This window comes from Homo sapiens, chromosome 6, assembly GCF_000001405.40.
Source record: "Homo sapiens chromosome 6, GRCh38.p14 Primary Assembly".
In the NCBI taxonomy this organism is placed as follows: Eukaryota; Metazoa; Chordata; class Mammalia; order Primates; family Hominidae; genus Homo; species Homo sapiens.
This window is the reverse complement of record NC_000006.12, coordinates 140,124,149-140,149,582: the sequence shown is the minus strand read 5'-3', so window position 1 is coordinate 140,149,582 and position 25,434 is coordinate 140,124,149. Positions and strand designations below refer to the sequence as shown.

Genomic DNA, 25,434 nt, shown 5'->3' with positions numbered 1-25,434 from the left:
GATAGATCTCAAGAAAGAGGGGATGGACTCAAGATAATTTACTCCCCACAATATTAGAAAAATGCAGCTGCCAGTACTAAACATTCTCGCAGAAAAAGAGAGAAAAAACAATTAGAGGAAAATGCATCACGTAAAGCAAAGAAAAAAAAAACTGAAACATCAACAACAAACAAAACCAAAGAATAGAAAAGAATCTCTGAAAATTACAACTAAGACTAGGAAAAAACTTACTCTGACCATATATTTGATTTTTTTAAACAGTGAAAGAGTTTTTAAAAAAAAAAAAAAGCCCTACACTTTGAGATAAAGAAACAAACTGAAGACAAATCAAAACTATGCCAGAGATAGGAAATACGAAAATTGCAAGGAGCAGAATATAGGTTACTAAAGATAATAAATTAACTGACATACATAAAATTAAATATGCAAGTAAATTCAGAGGGGGGAAAGGCACACATCACAGACAGCCATATATTTGAGTAGACTCTCGTATTTCCACACAATGTTTCTTATGCTAAATGTTACTTGCATGGTGAGATTTTATAAATATTTATTTAGGTATAATTGACATAAAATAAAAACACATTTTGAAGGGACACTTTAATGTTCTGACCTATGAATATATGCATTAAACCATCAGCACAATTATTAATAAAATAGGAATCATGGCTGCACTTCTGTTGCTCTCAGCCTCATGAGGGAGGGCTGTGATTAGGGACTAACGCAGACCCTTAGCACGGTGTAGCTGCCTCATGGAAAAGTGGCAGACTGTTTTCCATGCAGGTTCCCGCCCCTCCTACTCCTTGCCGGGCAGGGCCTCGCCACCTGGCACCCCAGCCACCCCCTTACCTCACCCCCAACCCAGGATCACCGGCTGCAGCTCTGTACTTGCCTAGAACTGAGAGGTGACATCGTGGTGGCAGCCCTCGCAGCCCTCGCTCACTCTTGGCGCCTCCTCGGCCTCGGCGCCCACTCTGGCCGCACTTGAGAAGCCCCTCAGCCCGCCGCTGCACTGTGGGAGCCCCTTCCTGGGATGGCCGAGGCCGGAGCCGGCTCCCTCAGCCTGCGGGGAGGTGTGGAGGGAGAGGCGCGGGCGGGAACCGGGGCTGCACACTGCGCTTGCGCGCCAGCGCGAGTTCCGGGTGGGCGTGGTCTCGACGGCCCCTCACTCGGAGCAGCTGGCCCGCCCGCAAGCCCCGGGCAGTGAGGGGCTCAGCACCTGGGCCAGCAGCTGCGGAGGGTGCGCCGGGTCCCCCAGCAGTGCTGGCCCACTGGCGCTGCGCTCGATTTCTCGCCGGGCCTTAGCTGCCTCCCCCGGGGGCAGAGCTCCGGATATGCAGCCTGCCATGCCTGAGTCTCCCCACCCCGGCCGTGGGCTCCTGCGCCGCCTGAGTCTTCCCGAGGAGCGCCGCGCCCTGCTCCGCGGCACCCGGTCCCATCCACCGCCCAATGGCTGAGGAGTGCCGGCGCACGGCGCGCGACTGGCAGGTCAGTTCCACCTGTGGTCCGGTGCGAGATCCACTGGGTGAAGCCAGCTGGGCTCCTGAGTCTAGTGGGGACTTGGAGAATCTTTATGTCTAGCTAAGGGATTGTGAATGCACCAATCGGCACTCTGTATCTAGCTCAAGGTGTGTAAATGCACCAACCAGCACTCTGTGTCTAGCTCAAGGTTTGTAAATGCACTAATCAGCGCTCTGTGTCTAGCTAATCTGGTGGGGACTTGGAGAATCTTTATGTCTAGCCAAGGGATTGTGAATGCACCAGTCGGCATTCTGTATTTAGCTCAAGGTTTGTAAATGCACCAATCAGCACTCCTAATCTTTGCTTTGTCTTTTCATTCTCTGAACATGTTATATCAGCTGTGAATTTGAGATTGTGTTAAGTGCTTTTGCTGTATCTACTGTAGTGATCATATGTTTTTCTTTAGTTTGTTGACATATTGATTATATTGACTGATTTTTGAATATAAAACTACCCTCGAATTCCTGAGATAAACTCCATATTGTTATGCTGTCATATTTTTACATAATACTATGTTTAATTGTTAAGTTTTCATTAAGAATTGCTTACACTTATATTCATGAAAGCTATTAGTCTGTAGTTATTTTTTTCTTGTGGTGTCTTTGGGTTTGGGAATTGAGGTAATGCTGGCTTCAGAAAATGTGTTGACTAAGTATTAACTTCTTTTAAATTTTCTGGAAACATTTGTTTAGGTATTATTTCTTCTTTAAACGTCTAGAAGAATTCACCAATGAAGTGATGGGAGCCTGGAGTTTGTGGAAAAGTTTGCAATTATAAATACAATGAATGGATATAGTACTCTTCAGAATATTTTTTAACATAGAGAAGACTTTATTTATTGTACGAGTATTGAGAGTTTGTGTCTTTCAAGAAATTTGTCCATTTCATCTAAGTTGTTGAATTTATGGCCATAAAGTTATTAAGAATATTCTTTTATTATCCTTTTAATAGCTTGTAGAATTTGTATTGATGCCACCTCTCTCAATCCTGGTATGGATAATTTGTGTCTTCCTTCTTCATATCCTGTTTAGCCTGGCTAGATAGAGGTTTATCCATTTTATTGATTATTTCACAGAATTGCTGTTACATTGATTTCATTATTGTTTTTACTGTTTTCTATTTCATTGATTTCTGCCTTTATTATTGTTTTCTTTCTCTGATTAATTTGGGTTCAATTTGCTTTTCTAGTTTCTCAAGGATAATGCTATGGACACTAATTTGAGACTTTTTTTATTTCTACTATAGGATTTTTGTGGTTATAATTTCCACCTAGTTACTGCATTCGTAGCATGCCTTAATTTTCATGTGTCATGCTTGCATTTTCATATACTTAAAAACATTTTTCTTCTTTGAAATACCTGTTAGATTGAAGTTTGTTATTTAGCTTCCAAATATTTCTGGATTTCACAGATATTTTTCTGTTGTTGATTTATAATTTAATGTTCTATGGTTAGGGAATATATTTTGTATAAATGGGCTCTTTAAGTTTATGACACTCATTTTATGGCCCAGAATATATCTATCTTCATAAAAGCTTTGCATTTGTTTGAAAAGAATGTTGAGGTATACATTTTCCACAGATGAACCACTCAGACAAAACAATATAAAACTCTTGACTCCCAAGCTCTCAATATAAATCTGATTGGATATAGAGGCAAAGAATAAATTGATACATAAAATGTATCAATTAAATTATATAAAAATGTACAAAGAACCACTTGTAAATTGTTTCAACTTGTTTATAATTGGCAATGCTTTTTTTGCAAGAAAAAATAGTTTTGAAGAGATTAATGAAATTAAATAGTACAACCTATGAAAACATTTAACACAGTATATTCCACTTAACTATTACTTCTTTATTTACAGAATAGAAATGACAGAAAAATAATATAGTAATTAATATAACCTTATAAATACTATAAATTATAAAATTTATATCTCTGCTAAACCTTATTGATACAGGAGTTAAGAATAAATAACCTAGGCAGATAGTAAGTGTATGGGAGTCCTTGGTAAGGCTTTTCTTTTTAATGAAAAGCAGCCCCAAATTATTTTCCTTTCTAACAAAGAGCAGCCTGTAAAATCGAGCTCCAGACATAGATACCAGCAGTTGTGCCAATCGTGCTCAAGATGGTGGCTCCCTCTTCCCTTCTGTTTGTCAGCAGCATGTACAGTAAGAAGCAGACAAGATGGCACCTATCAATTGGAAAGGCCATTTGCATAGTAAGATTAGGGTGGGGCACCAGCCTTCCCCTCCCACTATGTAGATATCATACCTGATCAGACCAATCCAGCCTGCCTTTAAAATCTGCTGTGGTCTGCTGCCTCCCCACTTTTCGGACGTCTCTCTCTCCCCCAAAAGGAGTTGCTCTCTTCTTTCCTTTCTTCTATTAAACTTTCCACTCCTTAACCCACCCACGTGTCCATGTCCTGAATTCTTTTTTGGCGAGCAACAATGAACCCCAGGGTATATTCCCCAGACAGAGTAGCCATTTCATTATGTTAAGGATATGTGAATAAGTATGTAAAATTATAATTATACAGTGGTCTTATATAATTACTTTTCAGACAATTAACTACAGAGAACCATGCATTGCATGTTTAGAAAATAAATTTAACATGAGTATATTGCCAAATAATTCTTATTGCAAACAAATTTTAGAAAGAAAATTGTATGTTTAGATTTATTTTTTAAAATACCAATAACAGTACAATTGGCAAAGTAAATTGCAAAAATCTTGTGAATTGATGATAAATATTAACAAATCATTTAAGAAATTAGTTTTCTTTCCTTCCTCCCCATTTTTATAGTATTTGACTTGTTTAAATGGTACATTTTTAAATGAAAGGGAAGTAAAAAAATAGTAATATAATAATAATTTGCAAAATTAAGAAAGTAAAACAGTAGGGATCCTGTTGATGGCTGCAACAAATTATTTTAGGAAGCTTTATTATTTGGAATTACTTTCAGCAAGGAAAGATTCAAATCTCAAAGCCTCAACTAATGAGAAGATTTTTGTTTATTGATTTTCTCCTCCTTATAAACAGTGATCAAAATTTTATTCAAAAAAAGAGACTGATAGCTCCCTGGAGATTGCGTATTGGGGAATTAGAGTTAACCATTAAGTAACATTTTCTTGAATAGTTAAGGATTTTTGAGAACAGAATGAGAGTTACCATGGGTACAATAATCACGAAAAGAGTCTGATAGCTCTCTGGAGATCACATACAGGGAAATAAACATTGTTATTAAGCAACATTTTGTTAGATGTTTAACAATATTTGAGAAAAGAGTAAGAATTACCATGGGTACCAAATTTGATACATATTCCAATGGATATTGAAACAAAAACCTAATAATCATTAAAATGTCTTTAAAGATTATTTAGGACTTCTGGTTTTAATTCTGACATGGAAAGAACTTAGAAGTTGTCACTCCTGTCTTTACAAGAGTCCAACTGAACAAAGTGAAATTTATCACTTCACTTAGACCCATCAGAAAAGTGAGATGGTGGCAAGGCAAATTGTCACCCCAAAATTTGGAGAGTCAGATGAGTAAAGAGAATCACAGTACAGATCAGCTTATATAGAGCAAAAGCAAGCAAAAGCAGATGGAGCCGTAAACTGGTGAGAACTCTTAAATAACAATGTTGACAAATTATTGGAGGGTGAGTGTGAGATAATATGAGAATGAGAAACTCCTTGGGGCTGTAGACTTAGGGAGAAACCCTAAGAAACTTTCATAAATTTAAATTCCAAAAACCCCAACAGATTTTCGCAGTGAAGAACATAGAAAAAAAAAATCCCTTGTTTTTCTGATGGGGAGAAGAAGTAACCATTTTGAAATAGGCCCAGAGTATTCCAAATAACACAGATAAGCCTACTTTCCAGGGTAACAGATGTTACCAGAGCCTTATCCCACTTGACAGATGGTACTTCCTTCATCACCTTCTAACTTTTCTATCTCCCTACTGGAGAATGGGAGGGAAACTAAGAAATACTTGTGAAAGTCATAAACTAGGGACACAGGCCCACTAAAAGAATAATATTTAATTATAAAATTATTTCTCTCCTCCATATCATATCAATAGGAGTCCAAGAGATAACAGAGGATCATAGCTCAAAGAGCTGCAAGGAGCCCAATACCCTTTGAGAAGCAGTACGAAGGTAAGCCCCAAAGTCAAGAAGGGAGACAAAAATGAGAACACTAGAGGAATTTGGAAACTTTAGCCTCCATAGCCATTGCAACATGAAATCTTATTTTTCTTATTCATAATTGATCTAATGGGTGACTATTCAAAGTAATAATAGTAACAATTTGTTGGGTGATTACAGCATGTGGATAAGTAAAGTAAATGATGGAAATGTTCTAAGACACAGGAGGTAGGAAATGGTATATACTTTGTTATAAGGTACCTGCACCAAGTGTAAAGCATTATAGCGTTTAAAAGTAGGCTCTAATTACTTGTAAATATGTATTTCAAATTCTAGAAAAACTACTAAAATTTTTTAAAGAATAATTGATATGCTAAGAGATGAGAACAGATAGAATTATATGAAATGTTCAATTTATACAGAAGTGGCAGCAAAAGAACAGAAGGAAAAAATATCAAAGAATAAGTGTAATAAACAGAAAATGATTACAAACAAAGTAGCTATTAATCCAACTATATCAATCATTGCTTTAAATGGAATGGTTTCAATATTACTCAGGTTTCTTGTCATCATTACTGTCCTTCACCTCCACCAATCAGAGTTACATTGCTAGCAAGTAGCATTGCTTCAGTGCTAAAGTATTATTTGAAAGCACGTTTCTTGATTATCTGGGCTGGCATTTTCCTCTAAACATAACTTGTAACGATGTCAAGAAAAGATCTCAGGAAATTGTATTTCAATCTTGGTAATGTCTGGATTTGCTAATGATAAATATGGCCTCTTCCTTAATACAAAATCCTTGGATTGGCTTGGGGTTGTGCAGCACATTCACATTATCTCCTGAAATATCAAGGGACAGGTACACTTTCTGGAATGGCTTTCATAATATTTCAGTGCATAATACTTCAGTGTAACTGAGTGTTCACATTTGTCTTATATTTATAATCCTACATAATGTTAATAAACAAATAATCTTGAAACATTAAGCTGAATGCCTTATTGGTGTGCTATCAATGAATAACTACAACAAGATGACATTAAAGTTTAAGTTGTTCCCAAATACTAACAGATAAAATGAAAGCAAAAAGGTCCTCCCAAGAAATCAAATACCATCTTCAAGGAACGGAGGGGGTATCTATCATGTGGGCATTGAACTCTGGAGTGCATAGTGCCATTCTTATGCTAAGTGAAATATCTTCGGTACAATTTCATATTATTGTTTTTGACCACCCAGTGCCTCTTCTCTCTTCAAAAGATAGACCCTAACTTACCTTACCACAAACACTAGCATGGTTTGGCATTAATGATAACCCATATCCCTCTCCATGGTTTGGTCTAAAGATAGATATATAACAAAGGTACGCCACTGGCTGTCTCCAAGATCTTTCTGCTGGAATTTTAAGTCATCATGAAAGAATTTTTCATTCCTTCATTGTCACGACCATATAAAATATGACACCAGAGCTGATAAATGTTGGAGCCTTACTATATAGGAAAGCCTGAAAGAATTAAATTGACACACTGGGAGATAAAGAGATGAGAGGTAAAGACATTGCTTTTGTTGCATCCTGAGTTCCTAAGATCCCAGGAGCTATGCTCAATTCTGCAACTTTTCCTCTTGCCCTGTGAGCTACCACAATATTTTTAGATAGATGGATAGACTGACAAAACATAGATGATAGGTAGATAGATAGGTAGGTATATAGATAGATAGACATACAGACATAACATATATGCCTATTTGACATAATATTGAGGAATATTGTTTGAGTTGGAGTTCAGGCATACACAACTAAAAGAGTATTTACTTCAAGGGTTATGAATGAATAACCATAACAACTAGATTGTCTTTCTTATATTAGCACTGTGTAAGTAAGGGATGTTGAGGGAAACTGTAAATAAATGGGGATCCTACTTCTAAAGAATCCTCCTCTTTGTTAGGAACATAAAAGAACATGTATAAAACAAAAGATAATATAACTTAGAATATACCAAAGAGCTGTTGTATGAGGAAATGTAAACTTCTCAGGTTGAAAAAGACTTAGTGAGACTGACATCTCAATAAGCATTTTGGCAGTGTAAGTTTTAAGACCTGCATAATAGTCCATTATATTAAGTGTTGTACCATGATTTGGTAAATCATTTCCTCATTCCATATATTTTGGTTGCATTCTCTATATTTCAGGGTTTCTCTACTTCAGCATTATTGACATTTGGGGCTAATTCTTTGTTGTGGGGGCTGCCCTGTACATTGTAGGAAGATATTAATAGCAGCATCACTAGCCTTTACCCACTAGATGCCAATAGCACAACCAGGTATGACAAATATATCTCCAGAAATTGCAATAAACCCCTTAAGGACAAAATCACTCCTGGTTGAAAAACCACTACTTTATTACAAATACATTTTTATTGTTATCCTGATTATAAAAGTAATAATTGTTTATTGAAAAATATATATAAAATACACAAAAATAAAACAAAATAAAAATCATCACTATTTTATTTTATCCAGATGTAGTTACTTAAAAGATTTGGTTACATTTCAGTACACTTTGTTTTGTCTGATATAAAATTTAAATAATATACTAAAATTAAAATTTAGCATCCTATAACTTTTTTAATATTTCATAGAATTTCCCCCATGTCATTGAATATTCTTTAAATATATGGTTTTCAATGGCTTGTAGTGTCCAGTCGCATTGCAAGTTCCTTTTTTTCTCTCAATTTAGGGCAACTCTCCTGAGCCCAAGTCAAATTTTAGGAGATAAATATAATGAGCTCTTTGTCTAATACTAAAGTGATTATGAACAAAGACCTTTTTATCATCTAAGAATATATGGAGCCAACCTGCTGGTCCTGCAGTGATTCAGTATACACTTAATCTTTCAGTCTTCTGATTTTCATACTATTCTGTGAGGTAAATTTCATGTACAAATATTTTAAATCCAAGGACATTTAACTAATTTATTTAACAGAAGAATTTATACCAGCTTAAAAATAATTATGAAATAACTTTTAAATATTTACTGCACTGTTTTATTTTATTTTATTTTATTTCATTTCATTTTATTTTATTTTTTTGAGACGGAGTCTCGCTCTGTCGCCCAGGCTGGAGTGCAGTGGCACGATCTCGGCTCACTGCAAGCTCCGCCTCCCGGGTTCATGCTGTTCTCCTGCCTCAGACTCCCGAGTAGTTGGGACTACAGGCGCCCGCCACCACGCCAGGCTAATTTTTTGTATTTTTTTTTTAATAGAGACGGGGTTTCACCGTTTTAGCCAGGATGGTCTCGATTTCCTGACCTCGTGACCCGCCCGCCTCGGCCTCCCAAAGTGCTGGGATTACAGGCATGAGCCACCGCGCCCGGCCTACTGCACTGTTTTACGTGCTACAGATGTATCAAGCAATTTAACCCCAATTCCTACTGTGCTTAAAATAAATAAGACGTGCCTATAGGTAAGTACAATGTATAATGTAATGTGACAGGAATGAAGAAAGATATGCAAAATGCAATGAAAATTCAGAAGGAGGAAAAAGTACAGTTGGAGAGATCAGGATAGTCCTGGTTGAGGAAGCAGCATTTACGGCACACAGGAAATAATAGAATTCTGACATGCCAAGCAAGGTAAGGAAAAGGAGGGCATTTCTAGCAAAAGAAATGCCTTGGATATGGTAGAAGGACACTACCTAAGATTGGAGGGCAGTGAAAAGGTCTGGAATTCTAGATTAAGATATGTGGGATGAAGAAAGATGGAGTAGAGAGGCAGAGAAAGAATTGGGAAAGAAAAGGAGTAGACATTAATGAGACCCTACTCTCATCAGGTACTGTGATTTAAGCTTTACTTACATCATTTTAGTGCTACAATGTTTCCATGTTAAATATTCTAAGTCCAAGACACATGGCCCACCCAGTTACTTAATGGTAGAAATGGTGACATAGCTAACAAACGGTGGTGACGAGACTAAAACTGAATGTTTGTGCCCATCCTATTGCCTTAAATTGTGCTATGCTACCTTCAAATGCCATATATTTTCTTAATTACATGAAGCCTAAATAAACCTACAAACCTTCTTTCTCAAGCTTTTCCCTCTTAATCTGAATCCACCAATGCTCAGAAATCTCTGGACATCTTTTGGTTTTCACCATCATGATGTATGCATTTATGTATACACCTCAACCGTCTCTCCCCATCCCACTTCCTATAATGTGGTAAGTTTCTTGACAGCCAAGACAGTATCTTCATCATCTCTGCAGCTTCAATGCCTGGAACAGAGTAAGTGCTTCAAAATATTCATCAGTTAGACAAAACTGAATCCAAGCAGGATTACTGAGACTAGAATTTCCATCTTTTCAAAAATTGTTGTCAATCTGCCTTTCTTTCAAAGTATTTGTAAAAATTGAGGAAATGCCTTTATTCCCTTCTTGGCTCCATGAATGTTTCTACTGGGTCCTGGTTTAGTAGAGGCCCTCAATTATAAAGAAAACTTGCTGATAGCATGTTGCATATGGGAGTGAGGGTGTTAAGTTTGCTTTAATGTTGTGCTTAAAATTGGATTGATTTTTGTACTAATAGTGTAATTTCCAGGTATTTGTTTTAATAACAAACGGTACTTGAAATGACTGCTATTCAGCAGTAAGTTTATAGCTAATTAGAGGAGCTTCTCACTGATGCACGTTAATGAGTGGGAGAGCTATTACTGATCAGAGTGTGAAAGTTTCAAGGATACCATCATAAAATGTAGTTTGCTTAGTTCTGTAAATATATGTTGTTTACTTTATTTACAACGGCACATAGATTACTCAAGTGCATAATACGCTGGTATATTAGGTGAAATAAAATCTCACTAACGTGAGCTCACCAAAGTGCTCTGTTATTAAACTTTTATTAAGGACTGAGATAAAACAATTCTCTTTGGAGTAGGAATTAGAGTGCCTGCTGATAATCACTGAAGTGAAGGAGGAAGAGACAATAAGAGAGACAGCCACGTTCTCAAGGAAACGCCATTGTGCTCTGACCTTGCCCTTACCATTCCCAGGGGACTTCAGGTCACTTCACATAAATGGATAACAGAGCAGCTAAATGTCCTGGAGTGAGTGCCCCAGTGTGTGAAGATACAAAGGCCACTCCTGGGATGGGTATCTCAATGTAGGGTTTGTTGTTAGGACAGAAAGCAGCCTCAGAGCCAGAGTGCCAACTATAGCCTTCCACAATGTGATGTGAGATTAAAAGAAAGACACATAGTCCCCAGCTTCCGAGGGGCTGGCAGTGAGGTAGACAGACAGTGAACAATGGCGAAGGCAGGCATGCTGAGGAGGAGCTCAAACTGGACTGTCTACTTAGAGGGGAGCTGAAACCTGGGAAGGTGAAAGGAAAGAGATTATTTTTTAATAACCAAAATACATAGCCATGGCATTAGCCAAAACAAAGAGAGGAAATTCCAATGAAGTAATTGTTTTCACTCCAGTGGTTCATTTTCTTTTTGACTGGGAGTGATCTGGCTGAATCAATTAGGTGTTTCAGCTTTGAGCAAACATGAAGATATGTTCAAATTTCTTAATCAAATATCCAAAGCCAGGTGCGGTGGCTCACACCTGTAATCCCAGCACTTCGGGAGGCCAAGGTGGGCGGATCACCTGAGGTCAGGAGTTAGAGACTAGCCTGGCCAGCATGGTGAAACCCCGTCTCTACTAAAAGTACAAAAATTAGCTGGGCGTGGTGGCCGGCGCCTGTAATCCCCATCTACTCAGGAGGCTGAGGCATGAAAATAGCTTGAACTCTGGAGGCGGAGGTTGCAGTGAGCCGAGATCGTGCCACTGTACTCCAGCCTGGGCGACAAGAGCGAGACTCCATCTCAAAAAAATAAAAATAAAAATAAAATAAAATATCCAAATGAAAACTTTCACACAAGTAGAAAGTTTATTTTTTATGACATCTTCGTATTTATTTCTTACATATCATATGTGAAAAGCAGCTCCTTTGCTGAAAATCTAGTCCATCCAAGAATGCATCATCATCTCTGACCAAAAACAATGGCTGGTGGTAAGGCCGTACTGAGAAAAAAGAAAAAAATGTTGAAGCTGAATAACCCTGAGCTTAAGATTTGATTTTGTCATCTACTGGCTGTGTGATCCTCAGCAAGTTACCAAGGCTCTCTGACCTGTAGATACCTCATATATTTATTTAGGGTAGTAATGTGGACAGCTAGATGTTGTTAGGAGGATTGAGATAGCACACTTCAAGAAGAGTATCTTGTACAGAAAAATACACTCAAATAAATAATATCTATTGATATTATCATTATCAAGTCATTAAGTTGTATTTTTAAATCAAATGAACTAAAATATAGAAATAGATCTATTACAAAAGAGAATTAAAATTTCACACTTAATACATGAACAGTCAATGAAAAATAGGATGCACTTGGGTAAACAATTAATACTGTTATACCATATAATTTTGTACCAATAATTTGGAAAGACAGTTAAAATAGTAATTAAATTAGTTTTTATTTAGATTGCCTTTTGTTTGTTCAGTTATCAAAAGCTTTAAAAGACTCTGAGTGTTTTCAGAATGACATCAGCTAATAGTCCAGTTAGAAATTTCGGTATTCCCTTTCCCTGCTCCCCAAGCTCACTGACCTCAGGTGTTCATGCATCTATTCAGTAAATAATTATTGAGCACTGTTCTTGCTACAAATATAAAACTGGGCTTCATGAAGTTTATTGATTGGTGGAGAGAAAGATAAAAAAGTAACAGTTAACTATGTAGTTACAAATATTGGGAAGTGTTTTGAAAGAAAGTGTGAGAAGTGGGCTTAGTGAAGAAAAAGCCAATCCCAGAGTGAATAATAAGCAGAGTGGCTGAAAATGAAATCAAAATTGTAAAAATATTCAATTAAGTCAGCACTTTATAGGCCAAAGCAATTATTTTTAATATGTTTTATTTTTAATTATTATGGTATATAATATTTGTATATATTTATTGGATACATGTGATGTTTTGATACTGTCATATAATGTGTAATGATCAAATCAGGGTAACTGAACTATGCAACCCCTCCAGCATTTATCATTTCTTTGTGTTCAGAATATTCCAATTCTACACTTTAATTATTTAAAAATAAACAATAAATTATTGTTTACTATAATCACTGTATTGTGCTACTGAATAATAGACTTTATTCATTCTAACTCTCATTTGTACCAATTAACCTTCCCCACTTTATCCTCCACTCATTGCTACCCTTTCAGCCTCTGGTATCCATCATTCTGCTATCTTCATTAATTCATATATATTTTTTTTTTTAGCTCCCACGTATTAGTGATAACATGGGAGAACAGAAAACATTGTCTTTCTGTGGCTGGATAATTTTACTTAACACAATGAACCCCAGTTCCATCCATGTGGCTGCAAATGACAGGATTTTATTCTTTTTACAGCTGAATAATATTCTACTGTGTATATGTACCATACTTTATCCATTTATCCTTTGATGGGCACTTAGGTTGATCCATATCTTAGCTATTGTGAATACTAGTGCAATAAACGTCAGAGTGCAGATGTCTCTTCAATAGACTGATTTCCTTTCTTTTGGGTATATACTCAGCAGTAGGACTGCTGTATCACATGGTAGTTCTATTTTTAGTTTTTTGTTTTTTTTTTTTTGGAAACTCCATACTGTTCTCCATAGTAGCCGTACTAATTTACACTCCCACCAACAGTGTATGTGGGTTCCCCTTTCTCCACATCCTCACCAGCTTGTTACAGACTGTCTTTGGAATAAAAGCCATTTTAACAGGGGAGAAATGATATCTCATTGTAGTTTTGATTATCATTTCTCTGATTTGTGATGAAGAGCATTTTTTTATTATACCTGTTGACCATATATATGTCTTCTTTTTTAAAAAAAATGTCTATTCAGATCTTTTGCCCATTTTTAACCAGATTGTTTTTCTACTATTGAGTTGTTTGAGCTCTTTATACATTCTGGTTCTTAATCCCTTGTCAGATGGTTAGTTTGCAAATATTTTCTTCTAATCTGTGAGTTGTCTCTTTATTTTATTAATTGTTTCCTTTGCTATGCAGAAGCTTTTTATCTTGATGTGATCTCTGTTGTCCATTTTCACTTTCATCACCTGTGCCTTCAAGGTGTTACTTAAGAAATCTTTGCCTAGCTGAATACCCTGGAATGACTCCCAAATGTGTTTTTTCTAGTAGTTTCACAGTTTCACATCTGAGATTTGAGCCTTTAATCCATTTTGAGTTGATTTTTATATATGGTGAGAAATAATCTAGTTTCATTCTTTTGCATATGGATATCCAGTTTTCCCAACACCATTTGTTGAAGACTGTCCTTTCTCCAATGTATGTTCTTGGCACCTTTATCAAAAACAAGTTGGTAGAAAGGCATGAATTGATTTTGGGGTTTTTTAATTCTGTTCCATTGGTCTTTGTGTCTGTTTTTATGCCAGTACCATGCTGTTTTTGTTACTATAGCTTTGTAGTATAATTCGAAGTCAGATAATGTGATTTTTCCAGTTTTGTTATTTTTGCTCAGGGTGGCTTTGGTAATTCTGGATCTTTTGTGGTTTCATATAAATGTTAAGTTTTTTTGTGAAGAATGTCATTGATATTTTGATAGGGATTGCATTGAATCTGTAGATTGCTTTGGGTAGTATGAACATTTAAACAATATTGATGCTTCCAATCCATGAACATGGGCTATCTTTTCATTTTTTGTGTCTTCTTCAATTTATTTTATCAATGTTTTATAGTTTTAATTGAAAAGATCTTTCCCTTCTTTTGTTAATTTTTAGATATTTTATTTGTAGCCATTGTAAATGGAATTACTTTCTTGGTTTTTTTTTCAAATTGTTTGCTATTGGCATATAGAAATGCTACTAATTTTTTGTGTGTTGATTTTGTAAACTGAACGTTTACTGAATTTATTTGCCAGTTCTAATAGTTTTTTGGTAATGTCTGCATTTTTCTAAATATAAGATGATATCATCTGCTATCCAGGATAATTTGACTTCTTCCTTTCTAATTGACTTCTTCCTTTCTAATTTGAATGCTTTTTATTTATTTCTCTTGTCTCATTGCTCTGGCTAGAACGTTCAGTACTATGTTGAATAAAAGTGATAAAAGTCAGCATCCTTGTCTTGTTCTAGATCTTAGAAGATAGGTTTTCAGTTTTCCCCTGTTCAGTATGATACTAGGTGTGGGTTTGTTGTATGTGGTTTATGCTTTCTGAGATGGCAAGCAGTGAGAATATTTCAACTGGGAAAGAATTTTGAGTGGGAACTTTTCAAATTATCATTCTGGCTGCTGAGTAGAGAGTGGATTAGAGAGGAGAAAGGGAGAAAGTTGGCAGAACCTGTGTGGAGGGCACTGCAATAATCCAGATGGTGATTTTGGCTAGGACAGTGGCAGCAAATCAGAGAGGTGCAGGCCCACACATAGACATATTTCACAGAAAAAGTTGGCAGGAATTGCTAAAGCATGGCATGTGTTGGGAAAGAAGATGCAGGAATCAAGGCTGACTGCCAGGCCCCATCCCTGTGTGGTATCAGCCTTGGCATTTTCTTCCCAGGCCAGTGTCTCAGTCTCCAGATTTCCCTGATCACTTTCTCATCCCTTTCTCCAACTGCCATACCTACTTTACAATTATGTCCCCTGCCTCCTTTCCTCAGGAATCTACTTATGTATGCAATATAGTTAACTCTATTTGTACCAGAAACACTTAGTCATTTACTGAGTGTTTCCTTCAATTTTAGGAATAGTATTCCAAGATTTAAACTGATGAAAAGACAAAGGCATTATAAGCAGGTGATGCATAGGTATTTTAGATGATTAGTTTATTTGAATCCGGCTCATATCGTAGCATTCCAAACACTTCCAAGTTATATTTCAAAAAACATGTTTCTTAAAAGATTAGCTTATCCTCATGAATATATTATTTTCCATCTACTTTCTCCTTAATGCACTGCCATCATTATTTAACAGAAGCTTCCTACCTGAAGTTATCTACAATCTCCTATATTTTCTGTTCTAATGTACACATATACTATTATAAATTTCTTTCTAAACACTGCTTTCTCTGCATTCTACAAAAATTGACAAATTGTATTTTCATTTCCTTGATGATTAAAATTCACCATTTTTTCATATATACCTTTTGACCATTTATGTCTTCTTTGGAGAAATGTCTATTCATGTCCTTTGCCCATTTTAAAATAAAAGTATTTGTTTTTCACTGCTGAGTTGTTTGAGTGGCCTGTATATATTGGATATTAGTCCCCTATCAGATGAGTAATTTGCAAATATTTTTCTCCCATTCAAAATGTTGCCTCTTTAGGCTGTTGATTGTTTATTTTGCTGTGCAGAAGCTTTTAAACTTAATATAGTCCCGTTTGTCTGTTTTTTATTTTCTTGCCTGTGCTATTGAGATCTTAACCGTAAAATTTTTGCCTATATCAATGTCCTGAAGAATTTTACGTTTGTTTTCTTCCAGTAGTTTTACAGTTTCAGGTCTTACCTTTAAGTCCTTAATCTATCTTGGGTTGACTTTTGAATATGGTGAAATATAGGTATGCAGTTTTATTCTTCTGCATGTGGTTATCCAGTTTCTCCAGCACCATTTACTGAAGAGAGTGTTATTTCCCCAATGTATGTCCTTGAAAGCTTTGTTGAAGATCAATTGGCTGAAAATATGTGGTTTTACTTCTGGACTCTCTATACTGTCTCATTAGTGTATGTGTCTATTTTTATACCAATACGATGGTGTTTTGTAATATGTTTTGGAAGTCACAGAGTATAATGCCTCCAGATCTGTTCTATTTGCTCAAGGTTGCTTTGGCTATTCAGGCTCATTTATTGGTATTACAAGAATTTTAGAATTTTTTTTCCTATTTCTGTGAAAAATGTTGTTAGAATTTTGATAGGGCTTTCATGAAATCTATATATTGCTTTGGGCAATATGGCCACTTTAATAATATTAATGCTTCCAACTCATTAACATGAGTTCATGAGTTTCATTTATGTCCTCTTTAATTTATTTCATCCACGTTTTATAGATTTTCTTATAGACATCTTGCAGCTATTGGCTAAATTTATTCCTAGGAATTTTACTTAATGTTATAACTATTGTAAATGTGATCACCTTCTTTCTTTCTTTCTAGGGCACTTCATTATTGGTATATAGAAATGCTACTTATTTTTGAATATTAATTGTGTATCCTGCAAACTTACTGAATTTTTTTGTCAGTTATAAAAAATTTTTGATGGAGTCATTGGTTATATATATATATATATATATATATATATATATATATATATATATAAATTATGTCATCTGAAAGGAGGGACAATTGACATTCTCTTTTCCAATTTGGATGCTTTATATTTTTTTCTCTTATCTCATTGCTGTGACTAAGACCCAGTACTCTGCTAAATAGTAGTAGTGAAAATGGGCATTTTTGTGTTCTTCCACTTCTTAGGCTTTCAACTTTTCTTCAACTCAATACAGTATTGGTTGTAGGATTTTCATAGATGGCCTTTACTATTTTTAGGTATGGTCCTTCTATGCCTACTTTGTTGACAGTTTTTATCATGAAAGGGTTTAGAATATTGTCAAATGCTTTATCTGCATCTATTGAGATGATCATATATGGTTTCTGTTCTTCATTCTGTTGATATGACATATTATGTTTATTAATTTGCATATATGGAACCATCATTGCATCCCTGGTATAAATTCCACTTGATTGTGGTGTATTATCTTTTTGATGTGCTGTGGGATTCAGTTGGATAGTATTTGGTGGGGGATTTTTATGTCTGTGCTCATCAGGGATATTGTTGTTGTGTCCTTGTCTGGTTTTGATATCAGGGTAATGCTGGCCTTGTAGAATGGGTTGTGTAGAGTTCCCTTCTCTTCAATTTTTTGGAATAGTTTCAGAAGGATGGGTGTAAGTCCTTCTTTATACATTCCACAGAATTATATTGTGAATCCATCTATGCCTAGGGTTTTCTTTACTTGTTTAGAGGAATTTGTTCATTTTCCCCAGGTTTTCCAATTTACTACTGTATAGTTTGTCATAATAGTCTCTGATGATCTTTTGCATTTCTGTGTTGTCCTTTTTCATTTGTGATTTTATTTGGGTCGTCCCTCTTCTTTCCTAGATCAATCAAGCTGGTTTATCACTTTTGCTTAACTTTTTGAACCCCAACTTTTTGTTTCATTGATCCTTTGTGTTGCTTCTTTGTTTCTATTTTGTTTACTTCTGCTCTGATCTTTATTATTTCTTTTCTTCTGCTAATTTGGGTTTTGGTTTGTTTTTTTAATTTTCTAGTACATTGAGGTGCATTATTAGATTGTTTATTTGAATTCTTTCTGTTTTTCTAGATGCAGGCATTTATTACTATAAAATTCCCTCTTGGCACTGCTTTTGCTATACCCCATTGGTTTTGATATGTTGTTTCCATTTTTATTTATTTAAAGAATTTTTTAATTTCCATCTTTATTTATTTATTTACCTGGTTATTCCTGAGCATGTTGTTTAATTTCCATGTATTTGTACTGATTCCAAAGCTCCTCTTGGTAGTGATTTTTAGATTTATTCCATTATGATCTGAGAAGATACTTGATATGATTTTGATTTTTTAAAATTTGTTGAGACTTGTGTTGTGGCCTAACATACGGTTAATCTTGGAGAATGTACCATATGCTAATTAGAAGAATGTGTATTGTGCAATTGGTGGATAAAATAATCTGTAAATGTCTCTTAGGTCCATTTGTTCTAAAGTCCAGTTCAAATCCAATATTTCTTTGTTGATTTTCCGTCTAGAAGATATGTCTAATGCTGAAAGCAGGGTTTTGAAGTTCCCTATTTTTATTGTATTGGAGTCTATCTTTTTCTTTTGATCTAGTAATTTGTTTTATTTATCTGGGTGCTCTAGTGTTGGGTGCATATATATTTTAGAATTGTATCCTCTTGTTGGAGTGATACCTTTATAATTATGTAATAACCTTCTTTGTCTTTTCATACTGTTTTTGACATAAAGTGTGTTTTATTTGATATAAGTATAGTTTCTCATATTCACTTTTGGTTTTCATTTGCATGAAATATCCTTCTGCATTCCCTTACTTCCAGTCTATATGTGTCTTTACAGGTAAGTATGTTTCTTATATGAAGCATAGAGTTGAATCATTTTTTTAATCAATTTAGCCAGTCTGTATCTTTTAAGTGGAAAATTTAATCGATTTATATTCAAGGTTATTATTGATATCTAAGGTTTACTTCCGGTTATATTCTTAGTTGTTTTCTGGCTGTTTTGTATATTCTTTATTCCTTTTCCTCTTATGGCTTGTCCTTGTGTTTTGCTGGTTTTCTGTGTTGGCAACATTTGAGTCTTTTCCTTATTTGTGTGTTTGCATTACAAGTGAGTTTTATACATATGCATTTTCATGATGGCACCATCCTTTTGCTTCCAGGTTTTGGACTCCCCTGAGTATTTCTTGTAAAGCTGGTCTGGTGGTGATGAATTCCCTCTGTATTTGCTTGTCTGGGAAAAACTTTTTTTCTGCTTCATGTATATAGGAGAATTTTGCTGGATATAGTATCTTTGGGTGGCAGTGTTTTTTTGTTTTCCAGCATTTTGAATACATCATCCTATTCTCTTCTGGCCTTAAGGTTTTTGCTCATAAGTCTGCTGTTAGTCTGATGAGGTCTCCTTTGTAGGTGACTAGACACTTTTCTCTTGCTTTCCAGAATTTTATTTTGTCATTGACATTAGACAGTTTGGCTATAATGTGGAGAAGAACTTTTACACTGTATTTGTTTGGGGATTAGTGGGACTCCTATATCTGGATGTCTACCTCTCTTGCTGGACTTGGGAAATTTTTTTTATTTTATTAAATAGGATTTCAAACATTTTCTATTTGCCTTCAGGGTTATCAATAATTTATATATTTGGTTGCTGTGTGGTATACCATATATCATGAAAGTTTTATTTATTCTTTTCTATTATTTTTTATTTCTTTGTGTCTGACTGGGTTATTTCAAAAAATCTGTCTTTATATTCTGAGATTCTTTCTTTTGCTTGATCTAATATATTGTTGAAGTTTTTAATTGTATTTTATATTTTATTCAAGGAATTCTTCAATTCCAGAAGTTCTATTTTGTTCTTTTTTTATGATATCTACCTCTTTGCTAAATTTTTTACTAATGTTCTGAATTCTTTTTTCTGATTTTTTAAAATTATCTTGTATCTCACTGTGCTTCTTTAGTATCATAATTTTATATTCTTTTTCCAGAATTTTACGAATTTCATTTTTATTGGAATCTGTGGTTGAGGAATTATTGCATTCTTTTGGAGGTATCATATTTTCTTGGTTTTTTATGTTTCTAGTGTCTTCACACTGAAATCTGTACATCTGGTGTGACAGTCACTTCTTCCAATTTTTAAAATTTGCTTTCATATGGGATGAGTTTTTCCTGAAGAGGTATCAGTGGTGTTGGCTGGGTAGAGCCCTTTGGCTTTGATTCTGAGTGCATGCTGCTGTGTAGTTTCTGTATGATTTCTTTGAACGTAAACAATGTGAGTGGTATTTGTGATTTTCTAGATGGCTTGAGGTGTGTCTATTAGTGGAGGCTATGATGAAGTTTTCTCGGAGACACAGGCTCAAAGTAGGCCAGTCTTAGGGCCCCAGTGATAAAAGTAGTGGATTGAGCATGCCTTTTCATGGGCCCCAGACTGGCATACACTAACACTGGTGATAGCACAACCAGGTGGGCTATGTATTATTGTGTTATTCCAATGCTTAGAAGACAGGCTTTCAACTTTTCTTCATCTCGATACAGTATTGGTTGTGGGATTGTCATAGAAGATCTTCATTATTTTTAGGTATGGTCCTCCATACTCCATACTCCACACTCCACACTCCATACTCCATACTCCATATCTGAGTAGCTTGCTCAGATGCCAGTAGTAGCAGCAGTGAACTGGCTGGAAGAGTGAGTTCTCAGCTCCCTAGGCAGCTAGCGTGGTATGAGCAATCCACAGCAACAGTTGTGGGACAACTCTGTGGGTCCCAAGCAGTGCTTCCTGATATTGGCAGTGGCTGTGAAGCAGGGTTGCCATCCACAACCCAAGACATTCAGCTTTTAGTCTCTTCTGCTCTTGGTGGCAGCAGTGCTACAGTGCCATGCAGAGGAGGTGTCCCACCCTTCAGAGGGGAGAAGGGACTCACACCTTGCACATGAGCTAGAGCACAGAGTCCGTGCCACCAATTGGGGCATGGTTGCCACTCACAGCCTCAGACAGGTAGCCCTCTGCCTCATCCAACCCAGCCCCTGGTGACAGCAGCAGTAGCTGTAGCTGCAATGAGATGAGAGGGAAAGAGATCATGCTCTCTACTCAAAAGCCAGAGCACAGAGGCTGTTCCATCAGTTGGGGTGAGGTCATTGCCACCAACCCCATATAGTCAGATCTCAGGCTTACCTGTCTGGTTCCCAGTGGCAGCAACTGCTATGGCAGTATGCAGAGTGGGAAGGGGAATTTCCCTCACCACTCCTAAGCCAAAGCATAAGGGTTTTTGCCACTCTGGGGACACAGTCACTTGTCAGAGCCTCATATAGGAAGCCCTCAGGCTCTGGAAAGTGCGTGCCTTAATTTTCTTTGGGGGGGATGCGTGTGAGCTTTCTATCATCTTATTATTAAATATTATCTTTTTTTTTTTTTTTTTTTTTTGAGACAGAGTCTCGCTCTGTCACCCAGGCCGGACTGCGGACTGCAGTGGCGCAATCTCGGCTCACTGCAAGCTCCGCTTCCCGGGTTCACGCCATTCTCCTGCCTCAGCCTCCCGAGTAGCTGGGACTACAGGTGCCCGCCACCGCGCCCGGCTAATTTTTTGTATTTTTAGTAGAGACGGGGTTTCACCTTGTTAGCCAGGATGGTCTCGATCTCCTGACGTCATGATCCACCCACCTCGGCCTCCCAAAGTGCTGGGATTACAGGCGTGAGCCACCGCGCCCGGCCCTAAATATTATCTTAAAATTAAATATTAGCTGTTACTTTCACAAATTTTTCTAGTTTTTCACCACTATTTGAGACCAAAAAAAGGCTAGAGGGTATAGAATCTGGGAAATGTCTCTCCCTCAGGTAGGATAGAGTTCCGTTTTTTTGTTTTTTTGCTTTTTTCTGGAGTAGGCCTTTACTATAAAAAATGCTCTGAGCTTATTTCACAATGGTTACTTTTCCCCTCTCCTGCCAGAGTCATGAAGGAATTTATTTTGACTCTTTACCTTGAGAACCTGGTGAGATTTCTAGAGGAAACCAGGGAAATGTGATACCCCAGGAGTTTCTTACTCTCAGGCTGGTCCGCTCAGCTTCCTCAATTTGTCAAATTTCCCATTTAAGTCTCCCTACCAGATTATGGCTCCAGTGGGTTCTGCTTCAGGTAATAGAGCATCTTTCACTTTCTGTATTCACCTAACTCTCCAGCTTTTGGGGTGACAATTTTTGCCCTGTAAACTTCACGAAAAATTAGTCAAAGAAAGTTGGTGCTTTCATTTTGTTCAACCTTTTTCTTGTTTTAAGAATGGGGATGATGACTCGCATGTTGGACCTAAAGCAAAAAGTGCCTAATTTTCACTTATTTTGTTCAAGAACTATAAAACATTTGACAAAGTCGATCACATTTCCCTTTTGAAATTCTTTTCTCTTCTGTCTTCTCTGTCATCATTTATTGCAGCTTTCTCCCTCCTTCACATCAGTCCGTTATCAGTATTGCTTTTTCACTTTAGTCTGATTTTTCCATGATAGAATCCCTTGTTGTTCTTAGATTCTGTTACTATCACCCTATAATCTTACAGTGCTTAGCTTTAGCATTATGGATGTGATGCAAAGAGATTAAAATCTATATGGTCATCTCAGATATGATCGCAATATTTTTGTTTTTAATTGTGTTTTGGACTCCTGCTAACGGTGGTACCAAAGACTTTTCAGAAAAAAGATGTCAAAAATTGAACTTACAATTGTATTCCAATTTCTATTTATCTTTCTTCATCTCCCATTTTAGTGGATACCACAACCATTCATCAAACAACCAAATGGTTAAACTTGAATCCTCAATCTCTCTCCAGTGATATTAATTTAAACTCATTCACATTTTGTATAACTCTGCCATATCTACTGGCATAGATTTTGTTCAGTACTTCATTATTTCTGTTATTTCTTACCCAGACTATGATAATAGATTCTAAATAATCTCTTTGTCCATTCAACATCTGTACTTCCATAATGCTATCAAATTCAGTTTCAAACATAATCTGACTGTTATTCTTCTGCCTAAATCTTTCAATGGCTTTGACGACTTTAACATAAAGGGAACATTCTTAAACATGGTATCAGGGCCCTTAAGTTTTCTTGCTGGCCTAACTCCCTAGTCCTACCTCATGCCATTTTTCTAAATATATGATTTAGTCCTTTTGAACCACTTGCAATTTACCCATTTACACCATATTTTAACATATTTTTCTCCTTGTCTTTAATGCTGTTCTCTTACTTTTTCTTTAATGACTTCACCTGAATGTTTAAGACCAAGTGCAAGCATCACCTCCTCTTTGTATATATTCGTCTATCCTTTCCCCACATTGTTCTTCCTGCCACACCCATCCTACCTTAGTGAGCCTTCTTTGTGCTCTGTTTTAGAACTTTCAGACGTAGCATGAAATAATATGGTATCCTGGATTGGATCCTGAAACAGAAAAAAGAAAAGAAATGCTAAAATTCAAAAAAAGTTTGGAGTTTAGTTAATAGCAATGTACCAATGTGTGTTTCCTGGTTTTGACAAATGTACCATGGAAACATAAGATAGTAACATAAGGAGATTTCATACCTAAAACTGGTGAGCAATATATGGGAACTGTCTGTACTATCTTTGTATTATCTAAATGTATTTCAAAACAAAATATTTATTTAAAATATTCACAGAAAAAAAAACTGCATTTACATCTCTCATAGCAATTACCATACTACTTGAATCACCTGGGGTATGCTACTGAACTTATTTCTCTAGCCTGTTTACTTTTCTATAAAACCAGATTAAAAATAGCAAATGTACCCATAAAAAGGTATCTATAATACTTTTGTGACTATTAAATCAGAGCAGCCATGTGAGAGACTTAGCACAGTGTCTTGCACCTAGTAGGCCCTTGTTTATCATTAACTATTACTATTACTATTAAAGAAATAATTGATTTTTCATATCTGTCAGTTCCAGTAGACTTTGAGCTGCTTATTTGGCTGGTATGGTATCTGTCCAACAGAAAATACTCAGTAAATATTTGTGGAACAAATATTGAATGAAAGTATACATTTTAATATTTTTCCTCTTTTCCTAGATATGCTTCTCATAACATGACAGAAATAAATGCCCTGCCAGTTGGTTTACCTCAGTGATCAGAATTCACTATAATATCACCGTTGCTTGCTCTCTTACTGAACTTTTCTCCACCTCAGACCTTGAAAGAAACTGCATTTCATCTATCATCCTAGAATTCATGCCCTCTATTTATTCCACTGCACAAAGGAAATCTAAACGACAGAGTATATTTTTTCAGCCAACACATCTTTCAAAAGTCAAAACTCTCCTTCTATTGAATTTCTAGCTTTATGCTCAATCGGAATTCACAATTTTCCCCTACATAGAGTTGTTTTTTTTTTTAACGTGTTGGACAGTCTTCAAAATTAAAATGGATAAGTTGTAGCTATGAAGTATCTAGATAATCTGCAGTTATAAAATTTGCAAAGCAGAAAAAAAATTAACCATTCAGAATTAATTTAATAAAGTCATTGAATATCAAGTTAAAAAGAAATTTAAATTACATATAATCTGTTAAATTACTTACCTAAGGCACACAAGCAATTACTGCTTTCAAAGGCATTATTTCTTTTATTGTTCTGAATTCCCCCTATCATTATGGATGATGGAGACTATATTATATTTATTTTATTTTGTGTTTATTTTTAAGATACCAGCATAACCATCATTTCTCCTGGAAAGTTTTCACACACACCTGCACATCTCCATGGGTACACAGATACACACACACACACACACCAAACAGGCACACACACACACAAGACTTGATCTCCTTCTATGTCCTCCCACCCATGATGCCGCTGTCACTCCCCATCAAGGCATTTATTACACTTATTTCAATTTCAAGTTTGTTTGTCTTACCTGCTAGACTTTGAACTCCGTGGTCAGATAACCATGTCTATCTGGTTTTTCATTGTATTTCTAGTTCTAAACACAAGGACAATTGCTAAATTCAACACTGGAGTGAATGAAAAATTTTTAAATATTGGCAAAGCTGAATACCTGTCCCCAAATATGTATTATTTTTAAGTTAAGTTCAACTTGATTTTATAAAAATGGGTATTTGTATTTTTTATCATATATTACATGATCTCAAAAACAAGTATGCACAAAAACATCCAAAATTTGCTATTCCACCCTTATTTCCAACCTCTCTTATTTTAATTCATCTCAGACATTTGGTCCAGATTGCAGAAAAATGTTTGGCATAGACCTTTTCTTTCACTGAGGTAATTCTACGAACTGGTAAGGTAAAAAGATACTATCATTTGAAAAATTGCTGTAACAAAGATAAGCTACTTCCTTTTTTATTTCCAACCAGTGAACCCAAATTTAGACATAATTTACTTGCCGAATATATTTTATCCCTA

General features: G+C 36.0%; 2 long non-coding RNA genes across 2 annotated transcripts, besides 1 other annotated feature; one reads left to right on the top strand and one right to left on the bottom strand.

Moving 5' to 3' along the window:
• Positions 687–1,187: an enhancer, noted in NCBI's record as "H3K27ac hESC enhancer chr6:140469533-140470033 (GRCh37/hg19 assembly coordinates)". NCBI's record gives its function as "activates a minimal SCP1, AML or CMV promoter by ChIP-STARR-seq in primed H9 embryonic stem cells {active_cell/tissue: H9 hESC(primed)}" and the evidence as "EXISTENCE:reporter gene assay evidence [ECO:0000049][PMID:30033119]".
• Positions 1,149–12,826, top strand: LOC105378025 (uncharacterized). Its single transcript, XR_943069.2, has 3 exons — positions 1,149–1,488; positions 5,613–5,688; positions 8,934–12,826. It is a non-coding gene; the product is annotated as an uncharacterized LOC105378025 (long non-coding RNA).
• On the bottom strand, positions 11,577–23,440 carry LOC124901412 (uncharacterized). The gene is made up of 2 exons (XR_007059790.1): positions 23,361–23,440; positions 11,577–11,729 (listed from the first exon to the last, which is right to left on the bottom strand). It is a non-coding gene; the product is annotated as an uncharacterized LOC124901412 (long non-coding RNA).
• Positions 23,441–25,434: the final 1,994 nt, after the last annotated feature.